Here is a 12,143-nt window from a genome sequence, read left to right on the forward strand (position 1 = left end):
CACTCCCAATATCACAGAAGAAGGAGGAATAAAAGGGTATATTATGAGTGACTGAAATTTAGAATAAATTAATAAATATTATGTCCCTCATCCATAGAAACCACAAAGGTCTAGTAAGGCTAAGGATATAACAAGAAAATAATATGAATATTTGCTTCCCCTTCCTAGTGTAATAGAGTAAGTTACAAATGGCTTCAGGAAGGGGAGAGAGGAAGAAGAGTGGATGAGATACGTAAGAGTGCTTGAGGGATAATTTTATGAAAGCTTTGGGAAGTTTTAAGAAAAAGAAAAGCTATTTTTCAAGGTACATGTGTGTATGCGTGTGTGTGTGTATGTGTGTGTGTGTGTGTGTGAAAGACAGAAGAAAGAGGGAGACCTAAGAAGACTATGAGACACTAAGAGAAAAATTAAGGTAAAAAAGACACACACTTAGAAAAACACACATAAGGAGGAGGGAGGAGGTTAAGACATTTTACTATGTGCTGTGAATGGAAACTACAAACCATTTTTGATATATGCAATATATATACATATATACACACATATACATATGTATTTAAATATTTAAATTACATTTTCTCTTTTTTTAGAGATATGGTTTCACTATGTCACTCTGCCCAGGCTGCAGTACAGTGGTTGTTCACAGTCATGATCATAGCACATTATAGCCTTGAACTCCTGGGCTCAAGCAACCCTCCTGTATTAGTCTCCCCAGTAGTTGGGATTACTAGCATATGCCACCATGTCCACCTTTATGCTTTTTAAAGTGAAAAACCATACTAAGAATGAGGCAGCTCAACTTAATAATAAAAACATTTCAAATGTAAAGAAATTTACAAAAGAAAAACAATCAACCCCATTAAAATTGGGCAAAGGGAATGAACGGACACTTTTCAAAAGAATACATGCATGCAGCCAACAAACATACAAAAAAAAAGTTCAACATCACTGATCATTAGAGAAATGCAAATCAAAACCATAATGAGATACCATTTCACACCAGTCAGAATAGCTATCATTAAAAAGTCAAAAACTAACAGATGCTAGTGAGGCTATGGAGAAAAGGGAATGCTTATACACTGTTGTTGGGTGTGCAAATCAGTTCAATCATTGTGCAAGGAAAGTGATTCCTCAAAGAGCTAAAAGCAGAGCTACCATTCGACCCAGTAATCCCACTACTGGGTATATACCCAGATGAATATAAACCATTCTACCATAAAGACACATGCATACAAATGTTCATTGCAGCACTGTTCACAATAGCAAAAGTATGGGATCAACCTAAATGCCCATCAATGACAGATTGGATAAAGAAAATGTGGTACATATACACCATGGAATACTATGCCGCCATTAAAAAATGATATCATGTCTTTTGCTGGAATATGGATGGACCTTCTATTATCCTTAGCAAACTAATGCAGGAACAGAAAACCAAATACAGCATACTCTCAGTTATAAGTGGGAGCTAAATGATGAGAACTCATGAACACAAAGAATAAAACAGACACTGGGGTCTACTTGAGGGTGGAGGGTGAGAAACGGAAGAGAAACAGAAAAGATAACTATTGGGTACTAGGTTTAATACCTGGGTGATGAAATGATCTGTACAATAACCCCCTGTGACACCAGTCTACCTATGTAACAAATGCCCCTAAACTTAAAATAAAAGTTAAAAAAAAAAGAAAATTAAAATCTCCTTATCATCTACCTGGTAATATGAAAAACACATATCTTTCATTCATTCCTTTCAACTGATGAGGAAACTGAGGCATTGGGAGTTAGTAAAAGTCCACATTGAGATATGAGACCCACCACTGGCTGGACACAGTGGCTCACACCTGTAATCCCAGCACTTTGGGAGGCCGATGCTGGTGGATCACCTAAGGTCAGGAGTTCGGGACCAGGCTGGCCAACATGGTGAAACCCCCATCTCTACTAAAAATACAAAAATTAGCTGGGTGTGGTGGCTGGCACCTGTAATACCAGCTACTAGGGAGGCTGAGGCAGGAGAATCGCTTGAACCCAGGAGGTGGAGTTTACAGTGAGCCAAAATCATGCCATTGCACTCCAGCCTGGGCAACAAGAGCAAGACTCTGTCGGGGAAAAAAAAAAACAAAAAAAACCACCACCATCATTTTGCAAGTGTTACCACTATTGTGTGTTAATATTGTAGAAGTATTCCTAATTATGATTTCTTTGTATTCCTAATTGTAATAGCTTTGTATTTGAAAAATTATTGATTCATACTCTATATGTTATTATTTTGTATGCGATGACAACAGAATATATTATCATGCTCCTTTTGTGAATCTCATTCATAATATAAAGTATAAATTTGTGATTTTGCTTTAATTTGAAATATTAATTTCAAATATGTTATCACAATTTGATACAAACTATTGACAGTAAATCTGTGGATTAAGTAATGTCTTAGTAGGTATTGGGAAAATTTGAAACTAGTAACATGGAGGACTATTGTCATTGTTTATTTCAAAGCCAGTTAAAATTCTGCAAAGCAGTGTACATAAAAATAATTTCAAGAAATTTATAAAATACCGAGATTATGGTGTATAAACAACTTTAGATTCTTTGTTTAAGAAATACTGCCAGTTTGTAATATATGCTTCATTCAAAGTAGCTAAGGGCTGTACCTGGCTAATAGTAGGCACCTAATATTTGTTGAAAAGGAATACTGAGTAGCTGGGACCTCCTGAGTAGCTGGGACCACACACATTTAACCTGTATTTATAAAATTACTGTTTAGAGAATAACATTTGATGGAATCATGCTTTTACTTTCTGCTTACGACTCAATTGTTTGTACTGACATTAACATCCCAAATCCTTAGCATGGCCTACAAGGCCCTGAGCAATGTGGCACCTGCTGAAGCCTGCTGCCTCATTTAATAACTCTTTGTCTCTTTCCCAGATCCAGCCACTCTAACATTTTTTAGCTCCTGGACCAAGACAAGCTCTTCCCAGAACCTGAGCTTTGTACCTGTTCTTTATTCCTGGAGTATTTTTCCCCTGACAAATTACTTATCATCTATCATAATTCAGGTTAAATGGCACTAACTCAGGGAAGGCTTCCCTAACTGTCTCCCTTCTCCAACCAAATTAGGAACAATTATATGGCCACATAGTATCGAATCAAGTTTATAATTTTAAAATAATTGGGAGATTTTGTTGTTTAACACTTGTTTTCACTATAAGACTGTAATTACATGCAAGTAAGAACCATGCCTGTTTGTTCACTCCTGCCACAGTCAGAATAGTGCCTGGAATATGCAGTAAGGGCTGAACAAGCACTAAATAAATGAACAAGTGAATAAATGGATATTGTCTCATTTTCAGAACAGAGTACTAAATGGATCATGAACACTATCTGGTATGTCACGTAGGTAATTTACAAGGGCTACAATTTCAGCTCAGATTTACCTTTTCCTGGATACAGGTCTTGATAGGTCTCTTGATGTCATTTCACTTCAGATTCTTCTTTAGAAAACTTGGACAATAGCATTTGCTGTCTTGTCCAAATTGTTACTAAGAATCAAGAGAGATATCTGACATGAAATGACATTGGAAAACATTAAACACGATTGAAATAATGCTAGCCAATATGGTTACTATTAGAAACCAATTACATTTTCAACTTAAAAATAGTAATACTTATTGCAGACTCAAATGTGCTTATTCTAAAACAAGTAAATGTTTGCCTATGGTCTGAGATTCTAATCCACGGAGTTCATTCTAATCCACATTCAACACTATCATGTACCAGTGGGCCTCATAACCCACCTAGCCCTGTGATTTTTCAGGTTCACTTTTCTAAACTTGTGAATTAAATATTTATTTTCTTAGTTCAGAAGAGGAAAAAAACTCTTGTAATTGTTGCCCATTTCAGGAGAAATCTTGCATATGAAAACAAGAGATAAATATACACAACTGAGGGCTGTGGTTTAAACAAAATCTTGAGAATGTTTTTTGACCTTATACATTTGTGCTTTAGTATAACAAAATGATATAGACAAAGGTAACTTTTAATAGAACCAGTCACTAAATTAAAAAAATGACAAATTCTTCTGCTTAGCTAAGCAACAGAGAAGGTAAAATACTAATTCAATTCATCAATTTAAGCAATACTCATTAAGAGCCAAGTATGTGCTTACTGAATAAGCTGCTAAGGTTTGGTGGTTACAGAGTGTGCGGTGAAATGATGTCTACATCACAGTCCAACATTCACAGAGTTTAAAAGCCTACCAAGAATCAAGACAGACACAAATACCTAACATAGACGTTTGTATATGATAAGAGAGCCAGAGTACAATTTAGGAGAAGAAATTGTATGGAAGGAAGGTTCATTTCCATTAGACCAGAAAAGACAGCACATTTGAAGGCCTGAATAAGAAATATTCTGGATAAGATATTGTGGCTGCTACCAGAATGGCTCTTGATGATCTCTACCTCTTGGTATTTATACCCTTATATAATCTCTTTCCTATAGTGTAAGCTGGTCCCAGGTACTTGTTTCTATTGAATAGAATAGAACAAAAGAAATGAGATGCCACTTCTGAGATTAGATTATAAGATACTGTGAATTTCTTCTTGTGTCCTCTCCCTCTCTCTCTTTCTCTTGCCCTCTCATTTGAATGAAGCCAACTGGCATGCTGTCAGTGGCCCAGTGTAAGTCCTGTTACAAGAAATTGATGATTACCTGTAGCCAACCCTAAGTGAAGAACTGAGGTCCTCAGTCCTACAAATGGAGAGAAACTGAATCTAGCTAAGAACCATGTGAGTGAGCTGGGAAGAAGATCCACCCTCAGTTGAAATTTAAGATGACATATTGAGCAGACATACTGAGACACACTGAAAGTAAGAGAGCAGGAGGAAACAAAACCAGGGTCATACAAAGAACACAACTGATTTTGAGATTCTCACATAAGTATTACACCTTCAGTGAGCACGTGTACTAGAAATTTAAAAAATAAATAAAATAAACCTTCAAAGTGAGCTAGCAAATAAATTTCCCTATGGTCTCAGCTCTGAGTGGAGAGAGAAAATGTTCCCTGTGGAGTTTATAGCCAGAATCCAGCTCTCAAACAGGTTTCAGCCTGAACTCACACAATCTGTGTGGCTTCCAAATTTGCAAGCTGAGAATTTAATTCAAAGTGGTCTCAGGTTGATAGCAGTCCAAAATGCTAGGTAGGAAAAAAAATCCTCTCTGGACAAATAAATCATCAAAGCAAGCTCATAAGAGCAGGTTTCAAAGGTCATGAGCTTCTAACACACACACAAAAATCACACACACAAAATGGGGGTAGCAGCAACATGGGTAGCGTATTCAAACTTGAAAAGACTTTAAATATTTGTATTATTAGATGTAGATTATGAAACACATATTTTAATGTGGTTAATTTTTTTAAGGAATCAAAACTATGAGTAAAGACCAAGAAAATTGTGCTGGATGGCCACTTCCACCATGGCTCCCCTCCTATTTAAGTCTGGGTACTGTGTCACCCGAAGTCTTCAGGCACATTGTTCCAGGTCTGGGTTTGCCTATGAAAGAAACTCATGAGAGCTGGAAATGAGGAGTGAAGAGGAGGTCTTCAAATAAAGCAGGCTTAAGGATTAGACATAGCAGGTTTGACAGATGTGATGGCTTGCAGAATCCTTTATGAGCTCCCACTGTCCATCTGGATAAGATTTACAGACCTTTCAGAAATTCCTATAAGCTTGGGTTCTGTGCCCACACTCTAGACTGTCAGGCTAAGATCTCTGATATAAAACAGACCTCTTCTGATTTTGTCTAGCTGCTTTTCTAATATCTATTCACCAAGCTCTTCCAATAATAGCATAAGGCCCTAATTAATATTAAACTTTTATCATTATAATACATAGGATGTCTTCTGTTTTCCTGATCAAATTCTGACTACTATTAAAATATAAAGAATTGTCCAGAAATATATAAAAAAAGAATCACACATTGGTCTTCTTTAAATGAAAATATAACAATTGTATGGACTAGGATGATTACAGTTGTTCAGTTCTGACTGTTATTTGAAGAAAAAAGCAATAAGAAGCCTCAGCAACTTAACAGAAGGAGCTGCCATTTACTAGGAGAAAAGATTGTGGATGAGAGTGTAGCAAAGGTCAGAATTCTGTGAAGCTTGAGATGTTTATTATAATGAATTATCTTTTATACTCACTACAATTTCCTAACAATTTTGGGGTTTATATTTTTGAAAGAGATATACCTTTAATTTTCTTTCTTTGTACTATTGTTAGGTAACTTTGATGTGCAGATTATACTACAGTGAAAGTTGCCAATGACAAGGCAAAGTCACTTACATCAGACCCAAAGCAAAGTGGAGCCGGGTCATGAAAAAGGGGATCTTGTGTGTCTGTCCACGATAAGCACTATCACAAGGACTTTCCATAAACTCACAAGAAATTTCTGCCCACCCAGCACACTCTGTTTGTCCAGCTCATCCTGTAGGTGTCTCTATAATAGGACCTATCATAAAAAATTCCTCAAGACTGCAGCATTTCAGATAAGCCACCCTCACAAGAACACTTGCCTAGCAATGGCTGTTTCTGCCAGTAAGTTAACACCAGCTCCTGCATCAGACCCTGTGACCAATGATGTTTGTTTCAAAACAGCTTGCATGGACTTCTTTTTGTCTTTACATATTTTCCTTACCTCAACCTCTTGGGATGCACCTATGATTGATCATAGCACAAATATCTCAGATTATAATCCTTGTTTATTTCCAAATAAATTTATTTCTTTGGAGATCCACTTTTTCTGTTATTATACATTGACATTGTTATTATGAAATTGGTTGGGTGATGTGTCTTATTTTCTTGTCTCCAGAAGAATTTCTGTAACAGTGCAATTAAACGTTCTTTGCATGTTTGCTAGAACTCACCTGTAAAATTGTCTGAGCAACCAAAGCCTGGTTTTTGTGTTTAGTTTTTCTTTTGTGATTGGGGAGGGGGGTTTATCGTACTGATTCAAGGTGTGAAGGTAACATCATTTTGATTTTATACATCTTCTTCAGTCCATTTAAGCATGTTACATAGCGTTGTTTGTTCTTTTCATGATATTCTTTACAGTAGTCTCCTAAATGTTCCCTCTGCTTCTGCCATGAGCCCCTACAATCTATTTCAACTCAGAAGCTATAGAGTTTGTTTAAAACATGTAACATATTATGCCACCTTTCTTACTGTAAAACATCCCATGGTTTCTCGTAGTATTTATAGTAAAAGTGAAATTTTTATGATGGCTTGAGAAACTTTTCCCATTAGATGCCCAAGTGCTGGTCTGGTCTGATCTTCTCATCTTCCCTTGGGTGATTCTGTGGCAGTCACACTAGCCTCCTTGCTGCTCCACAAAAACTCCAGCATGATCCTACTTCAGGATATTTGCCATTGTTACTGCATCTGCCTGGAACCTTTTCTCCCATATAAACATAGAGATTGCTCTTGCCTGTCCTTCAAGTCTATTCTTAAATGTCCCATTCTCTGTGAAGCTTTCCTGCCCACCCTATTTAAATTACAGACTTCACTCCCAATTCCCCATCTACTTTAAGAGTCTTCATTTATCATTCCTTGACAAACTGTAAATATACATGTTCACTTTTTTATCGTCTGTCTCCAAATACTGGAATGTTAAGTTCTGTAATGTCAGATATTTCTGTTTGGTTCACTGGTGTATTCTTAAAGCATGTTACATACTAGGTATACTCAATGAATATTTGTTGAATAAATATCACATTGGGCTTATTCCAGAAATTCAAGCTTGTTTCAATAGTTAGAGCAATCTACAAATGTAATTCCTTACATTAACTAATTAAAGGAGCTAAATCACATCACCACCACAATAATGCAGAAAACCACATTTGATACAACTCAATATTCATGTCTGCCTAACAAACATCTCATGATACTAGGAAAAGAGGAAGGGATATATTATTTTCATGTATAAAGCACTAACCATTGTAGCATGCCAATATACTCAAAATTCAATGAAATTCCTATCAAAATCTTAGCATTCCTCTTAGTCCTCAACAAAGCATTTCTAAAATGTGTATAGAAGACCAAAGGGCCAAAAGAGTCAACTTCTGAAGAAGCGCAAAAAGAAAGTTGAGGAAATCTTAAAACATGTTATTGAGCTTAAAGTTGCAAAAATAAACTCATGTACCATAATTCATGAGTAGAAAAATAGACTAGTGGAATAACATAAAAATAAAAACAATGCTTACATAAAATGTTGTAACTGATTTGGATGTCATTAGAAATCAGTAAGTAAATAGATGGACAATGTAATGAAAGATGCTAGGCAAATAATGTGGTAGGGAGAATAATGGCCCTCAAAGATGCCCATGCCTAACCCTGGAACCTGTGAATATGTTACACTGAATGCAATAAAGGCTTATCAGATGTGATTAAGGATGCAAACCGAGATGGAGAGATCTTCCTGGGTTACCCAGATGGGCCCAGTCTAATCACATGAGTTCTTAAAAATGGAGAACCTTTCTTAGCTGAGTCCAGAGAGAGATGTGACAATGAAAGAATGGTCAGAGAAATGTGACATTGCCAGCTTTAAAAAGAGAGAGGAGAGGCAATGAGAAAAGGAATGCTGATGTTCTCTAGAAGATAGAAAAGGCCAGGATATGGATTCTACCCTAGCCACCATAAAGAAACATGCCTGTCGACAACTTGATTTTAGTTCACTAAAATTCATGCCTGATTTCTGACTTGTGTACACTGTAAGATGACAAGTTTGTGTTATTTTAGGTCACTTAGTTTGTAGAAATTTGTTACAGCAGTAATAGAACAAGTGGTTATCCATATGAGGCAAATTAGATTGGATACCTATCTCCAATAGAAATCAATTCAAGGTGAATTCCAGGAAAATACTTAAAACATTTAGATTAAAAATAAATGAGAATTTTTGTTACTTTTGGTAGGTCATAGAACCAAGAAAAACAAACATTAAGGAGGAAAAATGAACATATGACTACATCAAAATATAAAGCTTCTCTATTTGGAAGATATCATAAGGTGACAAATCATAAACTGTAATATTTACAACATATATATAAGTGAATAAATATACATTTAGAATATATATGAACTCCCAAAAATCAACAGGAAAAATAAGACATAGAACAAGCAAAATGCATAAACAAAAGAAGGCAAAACAAAAATAATGACTCATAATTATATGAAAAGAAGCTCATCTTCATAGATGAGCAGATAAATGCAAATTAAAACCACCCTGAGATGCTTTTTACATCCATGAGCCTGATAAAAGTTAGAGTCTAAAAGTAATAATTAACAAAGATGGGAAGTAACAGAAAATCTTGTCCGTTACTGGTTAAAGTATAAACTGATACAGCTACTTTATAGAATATTACATTATAGAATAAAGTTGTGAGTATGTATATGCAGTGACTCAGCATATTCATTGCTAGTATGTACTCAAGAGAAACTTACAGGAGTGGACTAGGAAGTAAATACAAAATGATTACAACATTGTTTGTTATATCAAAAAATAAAAAAGACACCCAATTTTCCAGCAAAAAAAATAAGTAAAAATAAATCCTGTTGTATTCTAACAATGGAATAATATATAGCCATTAAAATAAATCAACTATTACTGTACATATGAATGTAAGTATCAGCAAAACATATTGTTTAGTGAAAAACTAAGAAGCTGAAGAAGAATATATACAATATGGTTACATTTATATGAAGTCCAAAAACTTGCAAAATAAAGAAATGTATTTAGAAATAGATTCACATGTGAGAAAACTAGAAGAAAATTAATGAAAGGATAAGAGGGATAGCAGTAATTCTGAGTAGTTGAGGGAATTTCAATTGGAAAAAAATAATATCATATTCTTTAAGTCAGGTAGTGGGTATTAGCATTTGTTTTACCATCGTTCTTTATTCTTATAGCTACACTATATATTTTCAATGTATTTAATGTATTTTTTGCATAATTAAATATTATGCAATAAAAATGAGAAAACAAAAAAGTAGAAAATGATAAATTACAATAAAGAAATGGAGAAAAAATTATAATCTAGTTGAGTAATGGTATATTACATAGCTATTTTCTTAAGTAGATGTATGTACATGATGTATGCACGATTGTACATACATGTTCTTAATTATATATAAATATATATGTACATATTTTTAATATAAAATACTAAACAAAGTACACCAAAATATTAGCTCCTATGTTAGTGAGATAATGTTTTGTTTTTTTGTATTTTAAGTTTTACATAGTAGGTGTATTTTTCTGTTTTCATACTGCTATAAAGAACTGCCCAAGACTGGGTAACTTATAAAGGAAAGAAGTTTAATTGGCTCACAGTTCAGCACAGCTTGGGAGGCCTCAGGAAATCTACAATCATGGCGGAAGACAAAGAGGAAGCAAGCCAGCTTCTTCGCAAGGCAGCATGAAGAAGTGCCGAGCAAAGGGGAAAGAATCCCTTATAAAACCATCAAATCTCGTGAGAACTCACTATCACAAGAACAGCACAGGGGAAACTGCCCCCATGATTCAATTACCTCCACCTGGTCTCTCCCTTGACCTGTGGGGATTATGGGGGCTATGGGGATTACAATTCAAGACGAGATTCAGGTGGGGATACAAAGCCTAACCATATCAGTAGGCATGTATTGAATTTTAAACTCAGAGAAAAATACTAGTGTTTTTATAGGATTCTTACTAAAGAAAAACCAGAAAGTAATAAACCATCTACGCTAAGACATAAAATTCAGTTGTTTAGTTACAAGATAGAATGTGGCCTTGTAAGAAAGCAAATTAACTTCTAACATACAAAGCCTTAGAGAAGATTCAAGTGACTGACGGATCTTAAACAGAGCTATTATTACAACTTGAACTGCAGTAAAATATCCTCAGCAACATAGATGTGTGTGTTTCACTAGTCAGAGCAATACAAATTTAATGAAACTCCATTGGTGGTGTTTTTAATCAGACAATTTCTGAAGATGTCCTGGCTTATTCACAGATGCAAGCCAAATCTCTAGAAGAGTACCATAATAAGAAAAAAAAGAATACAGGCAATTGAGAGCTGTTCCAAAGTTTAGGGAGTTTTTGTAAGGAATTAATTAATAAAAATGTTCTTGAAAGAGAGAAATTAATATGCAGTTCATACTGCCAGAATTGCAGGCAATTTATCAAAGTCCCCTAATCCTCCAAAATCGCTATTTTTTTTTTGACACACACTTTACAGTACAGAAGAAAATGTCTCCGGCAATAAATCACAAAGTTAAAATTACCTAGTCTACAATTAACTACACAGTGATGGTAAATCATTTTCTACCAAAAGAAAGAAATGTCTTGTCTATTCAGGTTCTGCTCTACTTAAAAGTTTTCCTTGTTGGCGAGCAAGTGGTTAGAAAATCATATTTTATACGTACATTCAGCTTAACTATCATTCAGCTCAGGAAGATGACTCAGGGCCTTATCCATACCTTCAAGTTTGCTCTTAGCAAGTAATTGTTTCAGTATCTATATCAAAAATGGCTTAAGCCTGCAACATGTTTCTGAATGATTAACAAGGTGATAGTCAGTTCTTCATTGAATCCTGGATGCTTTATTTTTCTTAATAAGAGGAATTCATATGGATCAGCTAGAAAAAAATTAAGAGGAAAATCACATGGAAAGTTATATATCTATTATATATAATATTATATATCTATTATATATTATATATTGTATATCTATTACATATATAATATTATATATGTATTATATATATTATATATTAATCTATTATATATATAATATTATATATTATATATCATTTCCAAATTCCCCAGCGTTCATATTTGTCAGTGCAAGTAAAGAGCCTTACTGCTGATGAGGTTTGAGGTATGACCATTTGGCCAGAATTTATGAACTCTACATGTCGCTTGATGTGTGCCTCAGGGTATACTTTTTTTTTTTTTTTGAGACGGAGTCTTGCTCTGTCGCCCAGGCTGGAGTGCAGCGGTGCGATCTCAGCTCACCGCAAGCTCCGTCTCCCGGGTTCACGCCATTCTCCTGCCTGAGCCTCCTGAGTAGCTGGGACTACAGGCGCCCGCATCCAGCTGGAT

General features: G+C 35.1%; 1 long non-coding RNA gene across 3 annotated transcripts in view; it reads right to left on the bottom strand.

Annotated features, from left to right (window-relative positions):
* Positions 1 to 11,679, bottom strand: part of LOC127239154 (uncharacterized) — a 34,786-nt gene extending 23,107 nt beyond the window's left edge. The window contains exons 1-2 of one of the 3 annotated variants that reach the window (NR_182074.1): positions 11,520 to 11,679; positions 3,441 to 3,545 (exon numbers count right to left, since the gene is read on the bottom strand). This is a non-coding gene — a long non-coding RNA (uncharacterized LOC127239154). Of the gene's footprint in view, positions 1 to 3,440; positions 3,546 to 10,390; positions 10,488 to 11,519 lie in introns of those variants that run through there. The other 2 variants (NR_182075.1, NR_182076.1) reach the window with 2 other exon arrangements.
* Positions 11,680 to 12,143: the final 464 nt, after the last annotated feature.

This window comes from Homo sapiens, chromosome 1, assembly GCF_000001405.40.
Source record: "Homo sapiens chromosome 1, GRCh38.p14 Primary Assembly".
Classification (NCBI taxonomy): Eukaryota; Metazoa; Chordata; class Mammalia; order Primates; family Hominidae; genus Homo; species Homo sapiens.